Genomic DNA, 16928 nt, shown 5'->3' with positions numbered 1-16928 from the left:
CCTAAAATTCCAGCTACCTGTGCTTCCACCCCATAATGTTCAGGCTGCGTATCCTCCTATCTACTCCACCCTATTGTTTGTGCACCTGCTCTTCCATTTCTGACACCTCCCACCCAGCTTCTGCCCGTGTGCCTTATCCTTTCACCTGCTCTTCCAGAAGGATGGGTGGGGCTCAGATGGGACAGGCAAGTGTGAGGAGAATTTGCTGCTTGCCAAGGCTGCAGTGGGCACTTTGAAAGGAGCTGGGAGGTCTGGGTGTGCTTCAGGGGCCCTGGGCTGCTCTTGTTCCCCCCATCTCTGCTGGCTCATGCTCCCCCTGTTCCAGTCTGTACATATGGGCTCCTTTCCCCTTCTGGCTTCCTGGAATTGGCTGTGCTTGGGGCCATGCAGAGTGTCCCTGCCAGTGGATGTGTTGGCGGTGCTGATGTGTTTCTGTTTGTGTGGCTCTGGTTGGGGTGGGGCCCAAGCACCAGGGGGTGACTTTGTATCTGGGTCCGGCAGTGGTCAGGCATGTGCGCTGTGTGTGCCTTGGGCTGTTTTGAGCTGTGTGTATGCAGGGCTGCAGTGTCTGGGTCACCGGGTCTTTAGCTGATGCCAGCTTTGTCTTCTATCCGTTTAAAATCTCTCAGTGTTTTCCGAGTCAGAGAGCCAGGTCTTCTTCCGCCCCTCCGTTTGCCCTCCTCCTTCCCCTCCAGACCTGGTTTCAGATACGTGCATCTCTGAGGTCTGCCTGGGAGCAAGGAAGCATTACGAAGGGTGGATATGCGTCAAATGGAGCCAAACAATGCTGGTGACAGCCAGGCCTACTCTGGCCTTCAGTGCTGGCTGTGCGTCAAGCCTCTGCTGCCTGATAATTGGAAATGAGAGGGGGCTTCCCGCCACTCGGCCCCAGATGGATTTCAAGGAGCAACAGAGAGCTGGGCTGTCCTGCCCTCGGGACTTTCTGCTTGCGGGGGCTCCTGGTGCAGCCTCGTCCATCAGAGCAGATGGGGTTCCAGAACACCAGTCCCCGATGCGCGCTAATTGTGCAGAATAATTGCACTGCCTCCTGTCGCTGCCATCTAGGGGCCAGGAGTTTTCCACATGAGTGAATTTTCAGATAACTGAAGCTTATGCATGGAAGAATTCAGAGCTCAGGAAAAACGGTGGATTTTTTTGATGGAAAGTTCTCACATTGTACAGTGTCCCATGCTTTCTTTGACTTTGACAATAGATGGGATCTTAAAAATCAGCTCCTTCCTCTCCCTCTATTGTTTCTCAGTTTCTTCTTCTGTAAAATGGGGATACGAATAGGACCTGCTTCACAGGGGTGAGGTGAAGATTACGTGCTTTGAGACGCATAAGAAGCTTAGAACTGAGCCCAGTGCATAGAATTTACTGGTCTGTAAATGAGGATGCTGAGGTGCAGAAAATGCCATTAATCACCTCCAGGTTAACATAGAGGGAAGTAACATCTCCTAAGCATATTCTGTATCCCAGACAATTTTACTGATGGCACCTAAGTCAACTTTATTGAATACTTCCAGCCACTCTGCAAAGATGATCTCACCCCCATTTTACAGAGGGGCAAACTGAGACGCAGGGAAGTTAAATAAGGTATCAATAGCTGGTCTGTAGCAAAACTGGCATTTGAGCCCATGCCTGACTCCCAGTCCAGGTTTTTTTCTATCCCTCCTCTTACCCTGTAGTTAGAAACTCATGGCCTCTTAGTGTGTTCAGGAATCTGGAAATGAGGACCCGCAAACAGGAGTTACGATCTCATGGAGCTGAATCTGCTCCCAGGTACCAGGTTTGGGTTTAGTGCACAGCTGTCTGGAGTCAGGCGATGAGAAAAAATGACCTCTGGGGACGTCCAGGGAACATAAAGCCATAGATCAGCTTTGAGGATGTGGGATGTTTTTCCTAAGTAATATGTGGCTGGGTTGCTTTCCACCCTGTTCCTCATTTTGGCCAGCCTTAAATTCTTGAAAGGAGACATAGGTAAACATCAGAAAGGATTTCCTGGTTGTCCACCACATAGGACAGTGATACAGGCAGCATAGGGAACCCGAAGAGTCAAAAATGTAAGGCACTTCTTCAAATCTGAGATGTCTTTTATTAAAAAACATTTTAACGTTTCCGAAAATGGAATGCACCTTAGGATCGATGTGTACAATTCAAGTAGCCTTCCCTCCTCCTCAAAAACTGTTACTCAGTTGATGATGCTACATACAATCAACAGCATCCTTGAAATTAGGAAACAGGGAGGTGAACACCTGTGGTTTGCAAGTAATTCTACAGGTGTTGAAAGTGGAGAGGTCTCTACGCCCTTGTCCTGGCTGGCAAACAGACGATGGCCTAGCTTCAGAAGACAGGGGCTGATGTCTGTGTGGGTCTCTGATGTCTGTGTGGATTTGAGTGTGGCCCCAGCCTCAGAATTCTCTATTTTGGGCCTGGCTTAGCCCCCCGCACCTACCCTCACATGTCCCCGTGGTGGTTGGCATGGTCCTCAGCACTGCCTGAGACCTTTGGCTCTTTGGGTTTTCCCACTGCTCTTAGATTTTTTTCCCATGCACCCTTCCTGCCTTACTGTTCTAGCACAGCTAAGGTCAAAGACTTTTGTCCCTTCAAGTTTCCATCTAGAAACAGAAACCCTTGGTGGAAAGTGAGGGGTTGGGGTGGGCAGCCTCGCTCTGGGTGGAAAAACAGATGGACTTGAATCCCAGTGAAATCCTAGCCCTCTTCATACCTCCATTATAGCATTACTGGGGCTGTTTTACAATTCTCTGTTTACATGCCTGTCTCCCCCACCGGGCCACAAGTTTCCCTCCCGGGCGGGGCCATCCTCATTCATCTGTCTCCAGAGCTGGGAACCTGGCATGGAGGGGCACTCAGTGGGCATTGTTGAGTGAACACGTGGTCTCGCTCCCCACGCCTGTCACCTCCTTTCACACCAGTTCCACTAGAACCATGACCACAGACCACAGCCCTTTCCTTGAGCAGCTCTTCTAGGAACTTCCTAGAAGCTCTGTTCTCTGTGCTGCCGGCCCTGTCCCCCAGCCTCCCTGCTTCAGAATAGGTCAGGGAGAAGGGGTGGGGTTTTCCTGCTTTTTGGGTTGCTGGAGAAGGCGACTCTGAAGCCTGCATTCCATATTGCCTGTTCACACCTCCTCTTCTAGCATGGCGGCTGGCTTCCCCCTAGTCCTCCGGCCGCGTGCCTCAGCAGCTCTGACTGCCCCACTTTCCTGCCCCTCCATCTTCTTATGTTCCTCGGATCCCCTCTTTAATCTCTCTCCTCTGCTCCCTGACCAGCTCAGAGCCTCTTCCAGGCTGGACTCTCGGGCTCCAGCCCTACACCTCACCCATGGCTTCTCACTGGCTCTGGGGGCATGAGGCCACTCCAGGGTCCTGGACATTGGCCTCAGCCTGGCCCTCCAGGTCATGTGCAGTGTGGCATGGGTTGCCTCTCTGACCGCCTTTCTCTGTTTGGCCCTGTGTGCCCTGGGCACAGCCAACTGGTCTCTTTGTGTTCTCTGACCCCTGGCATCTCTCCTCCCTACCCATCTCAAAGGCCATGTTCTCCATGAAACTTTCTGTGACCCCCGACTGGGAAAGGTGGTGTGGTCCTGGGCAGAGCTGAGGCTTCGGACACAGCCGCGGCAGAACTTGGTTCAATTTCCATTATTTACTGGTTGTGTGACCTTAGGCTGAGAATGCAACCTCTTAGTGCCTCATTTCCTCATCTGTGAAATGGACTGATAGCCCCTAGCTCAGAGTGCGCCGTATTGAATGAAAGCGGACCTGAACGTAATTTTCTCTGGCCAGAGCAAGGGCTTTGAGGTGGAGAGGTGAGAAATGGGAGTGGAGAGGGAGGCATAGCCAGGTCCCGAAGGGCCTGATGGCCATATTAGGACATTTGGACTTTCTCCCGTGAGCTGGGAGCTATGCAAGAACTTTAGGCAGAGAAGTGACACTGCTGGATGTGCATTTTAGAAATAGCTCCCTGGCTGCCAAATGGAGAATGGGGTGGAGGGGACAAGGCGGAGGGCAGGGAGACCAGTGTTGTAGGCTGTTGCAATCATCTCTATGATTAATAGGACCTGAGAAGGGGTGTATGTGGCTCAGAGAGGTATTTAGGAGGAGGAGTTGCCTAGGCTTGGTGGAAGGGAGGGGAAAGAATGAAGGAAGACAGACACATGGGCCTCTGGCTTGAACGACTTTGGTGGCCGGGGCGGGTGGGGGGTGGAGGGCTGAGGGAGGGGTGGTGGGTGGAGATGGGGGTGGTGGCAGGTGTTGTCAGTGCCATGCAGGAAGGCCAGGAGGTGGCCGAGTGTGGGCAGGATCATGAAACCAGGATGCTGACGGGTCATGCCCTGGGCCCCTCCGTGCCCTCTGACCCCTGCTGGTGCTTCCCTGTGGCCTTGCCTGTCCCGGCCTTTTGTCCTGGCTATTGCGGGGACCCTCTCACCCTGCCCCGGTAGGCTTGCTGTCTTGTGCTCCCTGGGCCTGGCACTCCATAGGTACTCAGTGCAGCTCTGCTGAACCCCATGTCTCTGACCCCCCTGCTCATCAGCACATGCTCCTAAGAAGTCCGGCCTAGTGTGCAGCCTCACCTCTCCCAGCTTCCCTGATTAGGGGTGTGGGTGAGTGTGGCCCCTGAGCCGGGACCCTTGAGATCCCCGCTTGGGTTGTCTGGAGGCTAATCTCCAGAGAAGACTCCCTGCCTTCACCTGGGGTAGGCCCATCTGGGTGCCATGGTGTCGTGCCTTCTTCCAGGCTGGCTTGGGAGGGCCTGGCTTCAGTGGCTGGGAGGCCCATGGTCCCACAGCTTGGCCTGCTGGTCCCCCCGAGTTCCCCTTGTTGTTGTCAGCTTCTGACTGAAGCTGCCCAGAACTCCACATTCCGCAGGCTCCTGAAGGGTCAGGCACACCTGCTCTTCCCTGCCTCGTTCAGGTCTGGTTGTTGAGTGGCCCTTATGTGGACCTGGCAGCTGCTCTGTGTGTGGGTGTGGTTAGAGGTGGGGAGGTTCTTGTCTGAAGAGGAACTCCCCTGTCTGGAGAGCCCATCTCGAGTGGCTTGCAGGACAGGGAGCCTAGCAGTGGGCTGGGGGGTCAGTGAGTGGGGCTGGGGAAGAGGATCCTGAGACAAGAAGAGGAAATGGAAGAGGAAGCAGTGGGCAGCTGGAGCTTTGGGGATAGGTTGATGGGGCCAGTGATTTAAGAGGAGCTCAGCTCAGGAGGATTTGGGGAGGGGTGGGGCCTGGGGCCTTGGTGAGTCAGCCCTCTGGGACTCCCCTGTGTCCTGTCTGCTTCAGGTTCTGGGTCCCAGCCTGTGCTGGGTTTGGGGAAAGGGCCAGGCCCACTCCCTGTCCCCACTGTCTTTGGAGGGACACTCAGGGCTTGGGTGTGTGTGCCCTGGCTTGGTGTTGCTGGGAACAGGCCCCTTCTTGCCTCCAGGAACTTGATGCACTTCATTTCCTGGTCCAAACAGAACTCTATAAAAGGGAAGGAAACAGACTAGCAGGCCAGGGAGCCTGGAGAGGCTGGAGCAAGCCCCGGTGAAGGCCAGCTGCCTGGTGGGGAGGGCACAGGCCTGGGGAGGAAATGGGCCGGGGCAGTGGCCACCTTCTCTCCAGGATCCCTCCTCCTGAGGGCCTGAGGCTCAGCCTGGGAGGCCAGTGTCTTTGAGCTGTGCTGGGACCCTTGAGACCTCTGGCCCTTTCAGGCAAGCCTTGTAATCTTGTCCCCACACCCTCCCTCCATGGCCTTGGCATTCTTGCAGCTCCTTGTCTGTTGAGCATCCTCAGGTCCTGAAGGAGGCCTGCCTCCCTCCTGGTTGGCAGGCTAACAACTGGCCCTCTCCCCTGGGCCTCCCAGCTTGCCTTACCAGGTTGAATGGGGGCTGTCTGGGGCCTTCCTGAGTTCTAGTGGACTCATGGTGTGAGCCCTGAAGTGCTGGACTGTCCACAGATAGGAGGGTCACCTGCCTATTTCTTCATATGGGCATGGAGACTGGGGCCTTCTGGGATTATTGTCTGGATTTTTTCTGGACCGCTCTGGTATCATTTCAGAGAACAGGGCTCAGAAGCTGCCTGCCTCCTGGCCACAGGTTCCTGGGGCAGGGCCCAGAGGGTGAACAGCAGGCAGAGCTGTGGGCATGCCAGGTCTGCTCTAAGAGTGGGTAGTGGCACCCTCCCGTGCTCTGGGTGAGGAAGAGAAGTCAAGGGTGGGGATGGGGGTCACTGCAAATGTGTGTTTTGTTAGAGTGGAGATGAGGGCCCCTAGGCTTCAGGGTGCCTGATGGCCTCTTGTCTCTGGGTTATAGGGTCCTCTTCTCCCCCACTTTCTCCTTCCCCTTATTGTTATTAGTAATGTGACTATACATCCTTGCTTGCCTTAAACTTCCCACCCTTCAGCTCCCCCAGACCCTACTCCTGGACATCTTTATCTGGAGCATAGTTTCAGCCTGGTCCTTCTCCTACACAAGTGCCTTTACTGGCTCCCCAGTGCCAATGGCTAAAATTTAACTCCTTCACTGGGCATTCAAGGTTGCCTATGGTCAAGCCTAGAAAGACCGTTGTGCCATCCTTCTTCCCTTCATCCCTTCCAATGCCTGCTTCAATGCTCCTCTTCCTTTCCTTCACCCATCCTGTGTCCCAGCCAAAGGGGGGCTTCTTGTGGTTCTTTCAACACGCCAAGCATTCCCACCTCCATGCCTTTTTAATGTGTAATTCCTACCCCCAAATGTCCTTTCCCCATCTCTACCTTTCAAAACCTTATCCACTCACCAAGTGGGCATCAGGCTCTGAGCCAGGCATGGGGACTTCTCAATGGAAATGGCCCATGTGCTGCCTGCTCTCGGGGCTTTCAGGGGTAGTGGGTGAGACACACAGTGGATAAACAGAAGCAATGCATCCTCCATGCCAGGCTCAGGTGCCCTTGCTCCATGGAGCCTGCCTGGGGCCCCTGAGTTTTCTCTGTGATCCCATAGCCCTGGCACCTCTGCCACAGCATGGGCCCTGTCCCACTGTAGAGGCAGCGTGACAGGTGGGGCAAGGCAGGTGTTTGAATCCAGCAGACCTGGGTGAGCCCTGATACCATCCTTTGGAAGCTGTGCCTTCTCTGGTCTGGCAGAATTGTTGAGAGGACTGCCTGAGACCCTGGAGGATGTGGATGCTAATGCTTGCCTCGTGGGTGGTTGTGAGGAGTGAAGCGATGTATACACAAAAGCTTAGAACAGTGCTTGACATGCAGAGAGCTTAGCAATGAACACTTGCTGCCACAATGACTACCACTAGTTATTCCACTTGGGGTAAATTGCTTAACTTCTCTGAGCCCATTTACCTGAAAAACTTGTCAAGAAGATCGCAAAAAATAAGGTATGTAAAGCACCCAGCTCAGAGACACACAGTGGGTGCTCTACAAACCCCAGTTTCCTTCCCTCCCATGTAACTTTTGGGGCAGGGATGTGAGGTGGGTGTCAGCAAAGAACTTCTCTGGAAGCAACCCAAGTGTCCATGGATGGATGAATAGAAAAACACGAAGTGGTGTAATCTGTACAATGGAACAGTATTCAGCCTTAAAAAGAAGTTCTCATACATGCTACAACATGAATGACTCTTGAAAATATGATGCTAAGGGTATTAGTCTGCTTGGGCTGCCATAACAAAATACCATACGCCGGGTGACTTAAACAATAGAAATGAATTTTCTTATGGTTCTGGAGGCTGGAATCCAGAGGCTGAGATCAAGGTATGAGCAGTGTTGGTTTCTCCTGAGACCTCTCTTCTTGGCTTGGAGATGCCGCCTTCTCCCTGTGCCTTCACATGGTCTTCCCTGGTATATTTCTGTGCCCTCGTTTCCTCTACTTACAAGGACACCAGTCAGATTGGATTAGGGCCTCATTTTAACTTAGTTATCTCATTAAAGACCCTGTCTCCAAATACAGTCACATTCTGAGGCTACTGAGGGTTAGGACTTTAATATATGAAGGAGGACATAGAATTCAGCCTCTAACACTAAGTAAAATAAGCCAGGTATCAAAGGGCAAATATTATATGATTACTCTTATAGGAGGTACCTAGAATAGGCAAATTCATAAAGAAAGAGAGTAGATTAGAGGTAACCAGGGGTTTGGGGGAGGGGAAATGAGGGCTAGTGAGTGTGAGGATGTTTGGGATGATGAAAAGTTTCTAGAAATGGATAATGGTAATGGTTGTACATTACCGTGAATGTACTTAATGCCACCGAATACATTTAGAAATAGTTAAAATAGTAAGTGTTATGTTATGTGCATTTTACCACAGTAAAGAAAAGGGGACTAGCAGGAGATGGTGGGGGGACCCCTTTTCCACTCAGTCTTATATGAAATGCTGAATGCCCAGATGCACGTGGGTCTCGTTTAAGCTAGGGGCAAAGCTGTCCTCTCCAGTCCCAGGGGCCAGGTGAGTGTGAGTGTGTGTGGTGAGCCCCTTTGGAGGGCTGGGCAAGCTTAGGAGTTTGGGATTTTACATAACCAAGGCTGAGAGGTTGGCTCTTTCTTGGTGGCCTGGGGACAGGAGTGTCACCCAGTTGGGGCCCTGGTCCTGCCACTTGCAGGTTTGGGAGGTGAGAGGGGCAGTGCTAGGCAGACGCCTGGGTTTTCTCTTGATCTGCAAAGAGCAGTGCCTGGAGTCCACAGACCATAAAAATGCCTGGAGTCCACAGGCCACACGCACAAAAAAAAGATTTATTTACATTTTTAAAAGGGGTTTGGTTTGAGAAACATGTAAAAACACGACAGAACATTTCATAGGCCATTTTACACAATAAAATAGGCAATAATAGCACTTATATTTTTGCAAGCATAAACACTCAGGAGTTTAATGATAGTCACACTGGTATAACGATTATGAGCAGATGAACCGTATTCATAAAGAAGTAAGCAAAAGGGAAATGTACAAACACATATTGCTGTGGTTGGTAATTGTGTACCCCTAGCTTTATAACTGCAGTCACCTGAAATACCATGATGAGACAACCCAGGTCTTATGATGAGACTGATCAAAAACCTCAGTGGGCCACCACTGCATAACCACTGCGCCAGACACCCAAAGGGCCAAGATCTCAAGAAATTTTGTCTTTCACAAATGCAGGTGTAGTGGGATTATGATCTAAACTCCTTCCCAGCTGATTAACCTGGGCAAACTTCATGACCTTGTGGAGCCTCTGTTTCTCCATATGTGAAATGGGAGCAATATTGCTGACTCTGCGGGCTTGGAGGGTCTCGGAGAGATCAGGTGTATGACAAAATTAGCCCCAGTGCCTGGTGCATAGTAGGTGCTTAACAAATGGCAGCGATTGTGGCCACAAGTGGCCACAGGTGCCTCCTTTCTTTAGGCCTTGAATCACTTTCATTCTTCAACAGACATTTATTGTGTACCTACTGTGTGCTGGCTCTGTGCTGGACTAGTTTGACGGATAAGATGTGCTTCCTGCCCTCATGACACTTGTTTTCTAGAGGAGGAAACAGATTATAGACAAGGAAGCACACACACCTATAATTACAAATTGTAATAAGGTCTGTGAAGGCAGAGATATGAGTGTGGGAGAGAGAATATTGTGTGGGGCTGTGTGTGTGTGTGTGTGAGAGAGAGAGAGAGAGAAACATAAGGGAATTAGGGAGGGTCTCTGGGGTGGTGACATTTAAGCCAAAGCCAGAAGGACAGGAAGGACACAGCTACGCAGACAGCTGGAGGAAGAGCATTCCAGACAGAGGGAACTGTGTACTCACAGGCTCCAAGGAAGAACAGAACTAGGTGTTGGAGGGATTGAGGGGAACCCACCTCTGTGTGTGGCTTCGGGTCCCGGACAAGGGGGCTGAGCATAGAACGAAGAGGGAGAGGAGGGCAGAGCCTGGGTCATGCAGGGAGTTCCCTGCCTGGGCTGGCTGCTCTCTAGTGCTTTTTCCCTCATGTCCTGGGGGAGTCTGCACGGGTGTGCCCTGTTGTTGGCATTGTGCTCAGGGACCTTTGAAGTTGAGAAAATACTAGTGGGTGTGGGGGCTGACGAGTGCCAGGCATCAGCCCTGGTCTGGGAGGCTACCATGCTCACCTTCCAGCTGCACCCACGGGGCTCCACCTCGCAGCCTCCAGAGCCAGACTGCTCTGCTGCAGTGCTGGGCAAATTGTTAACCTTTCTGTGCCTTAGTTTCTTCATCTGTGAATTGGGGGTAATAGCATCCAATGAGAGCAAAGGGCTTGGTACAGTAACTAAGCTTTGGTTAGTATGAGCAAAGGGCTGAGTGTAGACATAGTGCACTCACTCCGTGAGCATTGTTCCTGTGGCTGTGGATGGCTCCGTGGATGTGTGTGTTTCTAGCATAGAGGACAAGAGCATGTCTCCAGACCCGGACCCTGACTTTGCATCGTGCCTCCTGTTGGCCAACTCATTAGCCTCTATGTGCCTCAGTCTTCTCATCCACAAAATGGGGATAATAATGACAACGCTCAGCATTGTTACGTGAATTAAATGAGTTAATTAATGCAAACTGCTGAGAACAGTGCCTGGCACAGAGCAAGGGTGATGGGAGTTTATTTGCTGCTGTGATTTTTATTGCTATGTTATTGAGAGTGAAAAGATTGAGCAGGACACCCTGTCAGTTCCCAATGTCTAAATGGTTTGCTTGAGGTCCACTGGGGGAAGGGGGCTTACCTGAGGCTGACTTTCTGGGTCTGAGCCCTGGAATCCTGCACTGACAGCTCTGGGAGGTGAGCCTATGACAGCGCTGGCACCAAGACCCCCTATAGCCACCCCCAGAGTCTGCCCCCTGCAGAGGGAGGCTTCCTTACCTGGGCCCCCTGGGGACTCCAGGACTGTGGGGCCACAGGGCATGGGCCATAGAGTGGCAGGGGGCCCTGGCTCTCCCTGGCACATTCCGGGCTCCTGAGAGGGTGGCCAGGGGCCAGGGTGCCGGAGAGAAGGCGAGAGCCTTTTAAGGAAACATTTCTTTGCTTAAAAAAAAAGAGAGAGACAAGAAACACTGAAACACACAACAAAGTCAGTGGGCTGGCCGGCCAGTGGGCCTGGAATGCACGGCTGTGGGCGGAGGATGGAGGACGCCGTCGGGGGTGGCAGGCCACGAGGGGGCACCAAGGCATCAGGCCCTTGGGCTGGGGCTTGACAGCTCCCCCGCAGGGCCAGGTTCTTAGGGGGTGCCTCTGCCTCGGGAGGCCAGGGAAGGGACCTGCGGTCAGGATACCTGGGCCCCCTCCTGTCCACTGCCTGAGAGTAGGTCTGGGAGGGAGACCTTCCTCTTCGTCTCAGAGAACACCTGTCTCTTCTGCTGCTGGTTCAAAATGTAGCCATAACCCCCTCCCTCCCTTTTCCAATCCCCAGCTTCTAAATGGAGAGCAGAAACACACCTCCTGTGAGGGAGGGGACTGGTGGAACCTGGGGCCCTGGCAGTGGCAGGCATCAGCCCGTCCTCTGGCAGCTTGGCCTGGCTCGCGGTCCCTGCCCAGCCCAAGCTCAGAAAAAGAACACAGCAAGGGTGCTGTCCTGGGAATTGTACTCCCTCCCCCAGGACTGAGGGACCCATGGTGACAGAGTGGGTTGGGAGAAGGCACCCTGGGGCCCTGGCCCCTGACCTTGAAAACTCCCAGTCCCCAGAGCAGGGTTTGGTGCTGTGCTTGGCAGGGACAGCAGTGTCCCCCGTAGCTGAGACCTGGTCTCGTGGGCAGGGTAAGCAGAGAGCCCTGCAGGCCACAGCCAGCTCTGGGGACCTCCCCTTCCCGCCCAGTCTGTTACCCTGGCACCCTCTCCCCCAGCCCTGGGCTCTGTCTCTCAGAGGCCTCTTCTAAAACAATCACTCATAGCCCCGTGCTGGTGTGGATTAAGGACCCCGGGCTTCTGGGGGCAGTTCTGTTCCCCCTGTGTCTCCTCATTCTTCCGAAATTGGGGCCACGAGTGATAAGCTTCCCTTCACATGTCATCTTGGGACTTAGACTGCCTGGGTTCAAATCTCGGCCACTTATCAGCTGTGTGACCTTAGGCAATTTAACCCATCCATGCCCCGCGCACCGCAACTGTGGGAATAACAATAGTAACCCACCTTACTGGGTTATTGAAAGGATTAAAAATGTTAACAGAGGTAAAGCATTTATAATCATGCCTGTCATCTAGTACACACTCAATAGTATTGGGTATTATTGTTGTTGGTTCTGTTCGGCCCCCTGTTCTTCTCCCACCAGTCCTAGAATTCTGTGGAGCAAAGAGGAATAAATGCTAGGACTCCATTTGGGCCTCTTTGCTGGAGAATGAGTTGGGCAGGGAGTCTGTAGCCCGACTGTGTCAAAAACCCAGGAATGCCAACTCCCAGCCACCTCTGCCCCTTCCAGAGCTTGGAGCACACTGTCCCACAGGTGCTGACCTTATCTGGGCTGCTGTGTCAAGCCTGGGGAATCCCTGGGCTGCTGGGATGACAGCATGCGGTCAGCTGGAGGAAGGGCTCAGCTAGGGTGCCCAATGCCCAGTCAGTACCAGCTGGGGCTGGGCTGAGGGCTCTTGCTGCCACCACTCCACCGGGCTGGTGGGTGGGGAGGGGTTGCCCACTGTCTGGGGGAGGCAGCTACCCCCTCTTTGGACATCCATGGCTTGTTCCCAGATAACCTCATGCCCGAGGGACAGTCTCCCACTCTGTGCCCACTGTGGGCCCCTTGCCTGGTGTTCAGGTTGGGAATCGGAGCCAAGGTTGAGGACTGAGCTCCAAGAAAAACGTGTCCTGGCTAGAAAAAAGGAGCACATTCAGTCTCTGATAAATGCCCCTGCTAATTGTCAGGGTAATGGCTCGCCTGCCAGGCCTGGCCAGGGGAATGTTATCTCAGGGAAGGGAGCGATGGAGCCTTCCCTCCCTCCCCTCTACTCTCCTCCTCCCTCTCGCTCCCTCCCCTCCACTCTCCTCTTCCCTCTCCCTCCCTCCCCTCTACTCTCCCCCTCTCCCTTCTTCCCTCTGTCTGGAAGTTCAAGTTGCCATCTCCTTCTCTGGATCAGAGAGGAAGATGAGGATCATGAAACTGGTGAAGATCATAGCTCACTCCCAGAGAGTGCTTCTGCCTCTCCAAGCCTTCCACATGTGTTAGCCACACTCATGGCTTTCTTTGGAAGGGCTGGTGGGTCCCTTTTACCAACCCATTTCATGCATGCTCCGGGAAAGTGCCAGAGCTGGTAGGAGCCTTCTGCAGCTCTGACCTTTGGGTGAGATCCCTTAGCAATGGGGAGAACCAAGGAGGTGACTCTCCCTTTTCTGATGATGGTCCTAATCACAGTTTTTAAAAATGTAAAATGAATTTTACCATATTGTAGAAAATTCAGGACATAGAGCAAAAAAAAAAAAAAAAAATCCTTCTTCTTATTACCTGAAGCTTCTGTTATTGAAATGCCGGTGCAGTGATCTCCAGTCTCCCAGCATGTGCATATTTGTCACAGAATTTTAATTGTGACGCTCATTTCATTTTTGCCTTCTGCGGCCCCCGCTCCCTTTCCCAGGCGTTATTGCTGGAGTAGTTTTTCTGTGTTGCTCCATAGTCTGCTGAAGAACTCTCAACCCAGAAGGTGTCAGCCCGTGTGAGGGAATGAAGCAGGGGGAGGTGTGGGGTGACCTCAGGAGGTGCTGGCTGTCTCTAGAGACAAGATATGCTCACCTGCCCGTTCTCTGTTCCTTCCACAGGTGGCTGCCCCCTGCGTTCCTCCATCCAACCATGAGCTGGTGGTGAGTGACAGCCCTTCCTTGCCCTGCAAGCCCTGCCTCCTCTCCCTCCGCAGCTCCCAGCTGCAGCTTTCTTTAGACCCAAATATGTTGGTAACTGGGGTGTCGGACAATTAGGTGGAGGAGGAGGGTCGACCTCCCTGGGCCGAAGCGGGCCTGGGAGGAAATGAGTCATGAGGTCCCTTCTGATGAGATGCAGTGCCTGCTATTTCCAACCTTGAGACTTGCGTCCTTAGAAAAACCCATAAAAGGGCATCTTGTGTGTCTCCAGGCCTGGCCAGGTGCCTGTTGTCCCGGGACTCAGAGGACCAGGGGCTGCCACGGCATCTCCTTCTGCCTGCCTGGTCCCGGGTCAGGCACCCTGGGGCTGGAGGCGGGGGATGACCCTCAGAGTCCATTCACCTGGGCAGTTTTTCCCTACAGGCGACCTCTGTTCTGCCTCTAAGCCCCTTGGCTTGACTTTGCTTTTCTGCTCCCTTTCCATTTCCCCCACTCCTCTTCCCGTCACCCCCGAATCAGCCTTGCACCATAGCCTGGACTGGGGTGGGATCCCTGTGAGTTGTGGGCTGTAGAGAGGGCCCTGCTCCACCCTGATGCCAGCTGGGCTGATTTGGCACACTGGGCACTCTTCCTTCCTGCCTCTCGCCACCTTCTCACCCTTCAGAGGTCTTCTTCCTCCCCACCATGGCCCTAGAAGCAGACAAGGCTCTGGGCGCTGCTGGGGAAGGAAGGGGGCTGCCTGCATGCACCTGTGTGCCTGTGTACAGGTGTGTGGGTGTGTCCCGGAAGGACACCTTGCGGGCACAATCGGATCAGGCTGTGGAGTTGCCTGTGGCAGTACTAATGTCGGCAGGAGCCTGGGGCGGGGCGTGGCTGTCCTGGGGCCCAGGCAGTTGTAGGTACCTCACACACCTCTGTTGTGACTTGCTCAGCCCAGACACTGGGTGCTCAGTCAGGCCAGAGTCTCCTTCCTTTCATCAATATCCACTTGCTGTATGACAAGGGGCTGGTCCCATCCTGTTTCTTTCTGGACCTCAATTTTCCTTGCTGTGGAGATGCTCCAAGGGGCCCCTCCATGTTGATGAGTGTTCCCTCTCCCTCCCTCCCTATTCAGGGTGGTGATGGAGTGAAATGAAGTGCACAGAAGTGCTTGGGACTCTAAGTGTCACTGCTCTGCACGCTCGGGCTCAGGCCTGCTGGGGTTGTTTACCTTCTTTGCAGTGGTCCCTCCTTCCCTGGTCTCACTAGGGCCAGGCTCTCCCGGGCCTCAGTGCTGCCCAGCCCTGCTGCTGCAGATGTGGAGTGTTATTCATACGGAGCCCAGTGGAGGGTCATCTGGCAACAGCGGGGGCTGGGGGGTGGAGTGCAGTCGGGCTTGGAACTGCCAGCAAGAAATCGCGCTTGGATTGCAGAGGGACACCATGGGAGTCCGAGGAGGGCGGGCGGGGAGGGGTGAGTGTCCATTTCTCCTTATTCCAGCTGAACTCCCACCTTGTGGCTAAGAACAGAATGTCCTTGGCTGCTTTATGAGGCTGGGGGTTCAGGGTTTAGGGACCACCAGGCAGAAGCTAGATGTCTGGCTGCTGGGAGTCTCATGAGCTTTGTTTACATGAAGAGCGGTCAGAGGTTAGGACAAAAGGGAATAGGTTGGCATTCCAGCTGGGGGGACTGCAGTTAGAATCCAGAAGAGACTCGTGCCTGAGCAAGGCTGCGTGTCTCTGTGAGGTGCCCCGCCTGTGCAGGGGGCTCTGCCCTTCGAGGAGGCTGGATCAGCCACCTGGTGGTGAAATGGCTGTGTCACCAGACGGTGCTCCCAGAGGCTCCCCTGCCTGAGTCACAACCCGCCTCCCCAGCGGTAAAGAGCGAGGGAGTTAGACCACCTCCTTCTGCATCCCAGCTCCCCCGCTCCCTGGTGTACGACCCTGACATTGCTAACCTCCCTGGACCTCCGTTTCTCTTCTTCATAATGGACGTTAGTGACGGTACCTATGCTGTAAGCCTGCCAAAAGACCAAAGTGAGCACATTAATCCATTTAATTCATGTTTTCCAAGTCCTTCAATGCTGGCCCACCTCACTGGAGCAAAAGCTCAGGTTCTTCCGTTGGCCCAAGCAGCCCTACGTGACAGGTTTCCTTTTGCCTCAGCTCCTTCTCGTTCACCCGTGTCTTGTCATTTTCCTCTCTCACCTCATCTCCTTCTCAGCACCTCACTCATTCTGTTTCAGCCGCCCGGCCTTCCTGCTGGTTCTTGAACATATATGATGCCTCCAGGCCTTTGCACTTACTATTCCCCCTGCCTGGAATGCTCTTCCCACAGATACCCACAAGGCTTTTCCCCCAGTCGCAAGTCTTTTTTTTTTTTTTTTTTTGAGAACAGTCTCACTGTGTTGCCCAGGCTGGAGTGCAGTGGTGTGATCTTGGCTCACTGCAACCTCCACCTCCTGGGTTCAAGCATTTCTCCCGCCTCAGCCTCCTGAGTAGCTGGGACTACAGGCGCACGGCACCACACCTTGCTGATTTTTGCATTTTTAGTAGAGATGGGGTTTCATTAGGTTGGCTAGGTTGGCTTGAACTCCTGACCTCAAATGATCCTCCCGCCTCGGCCTCTCAAAGTGCTGGGATTACAGGCGTGAGCTACTGCGCGCCCGGCCGAACCTCAAATTTTTATTGAAGTGTCAGCATTTCCCTTTCCCCAGCACCCAGTCTCCCTTCCATGCTTCCACTGCCCCTCAGCATGCATCGCCCCGATACACTATGCATTTTACTTATTTATCTTGTTTAAGGGGTTTTGCCCATGCCAGCATGTAAACTCCATTAGGACAAGGAATTTTTATCTATTTTGTTCGGTGCTGTGTCCCCGCTGCCTTGCACACGGTAGGTGCTCTATATATGTTTCTTGAATGGCTGGAAGGAAGGCATTCAGCCCGATGTCTGGCAGATTAGGTACTCAATAAACAGGACTGCTATGACTCCATGTTCCCTAGCTGGTGAATGGGTGGGGCTGTTGAGTCCTAAAGGTGGGGGGCCATGGGGGAAGGTGGCAGCTGCCTTCAGCTGGAAGCTCTGCTACTGTCCCTGGGGAGTGGGAAAGTGGCCCAGGGGAAACCGGGAGAAAGTTTGGCTTCCCCAGGAGCACTCAGCACCTGTTTCCTCACGGGCGGGCGAGGCAAGTGCTTTGAACAGGTTCACAAGAGGGAGGAAAGGGCG

At 53.4% G+C, this 16928-nt stretch overlaps 1 protein-coding gene across 20 annotated transcripts in view, besides 3 other annotated features; it reads left to right on the top strand.

Moving 5' to 3' along the window:
- Nucleotides 1-16928, top strand: part of TNS1 (tensin 1) — a 234192-nt gene that overhangs the window by 100063 nt on the left and 117201 nt on the right. For all 20 annotated transcript variants that reach the window (XM_047445637.1, NM_001438865.1, XM_047445639.1 and 17 more), the window contains one exon: nucleotides 13684-13725. In XM_047445637.1, the coding sequence (XP_047301593.1) occupies nucleotides 13684-13725 (42 nt within the window). Of the gene's footprint in view, nucleotides 1-13683; nucleotides 13726-16928 lie in introns of those variants that run through there.
- Nucleotides 117-616: an enhancer, noted in NCBI's record as "H3K4me1 hESC enhancer chr2:218798027-218798526 (GRCh37/hg19 assembly coordinates)". NCBI's record gives its function as "activates a minimal SCP1, AML or CMV promoter by ChIP-STARR-seq in primed H9 embryonic stem cells {active_cell/tissue: H9 hESC(primed)}" and the evidence as "EXISTENCE:reporter gene assay evidence [ECO:0000049][PMID:30033119]".
- Nucleotides 3271-3814: an enhancer, noted in NCBI's record as "H3K27ac-H3K4me1 hESC enhancer chr2:218794829-218795372 (GRCh37/hg19 assembly coordinates)". NCBI's record gives its function as "activates a minimal SCP1, AML or CMV promoter by ChIP-STARR-seq in primed H9 embryonic stem cells {active_cell/tissue: H9 hESC(primed)}" and the evidence as "EXISTENCE:reporter gene assay evidence [ECO:0000049][PMID:30033119]".
- Nucleotides 4146-5015: an enhancer, noted in NCBI's record as "H3K27ac-H3K4me1 hESC enhancer chr2:218793628-218794497 (GRCh37/hg19 assembly coordinates)". NCBI's record gives its function as "activates a minimal SCP1, AML or CMV promoter by ChIP-STARR-seq in naive H9 embryonic stem cells {active_cell/tissue: H9 hESC(naive)}" and the evidence as "EXISTENCE:reporter gene assay evidence [ECO:0000049][PMID:30033119]".

Source organism: Homo sapiens, chromosome 2, assembly GCF_000001405.40.
Source record: "Homo sapiens chromosome 2, GRCh38.p14 Primary Assembly".
NCBI lineage: Eukaryota > Metazoa > Chordata > Mammalia > Primates > Hominidae > Homo > Homo sapiens.
The sequence above is the reverse complement of the archived record's forward strand: the minus strand, read 5'-3'. Positions and strand labels throughout refer to the sequence as shown.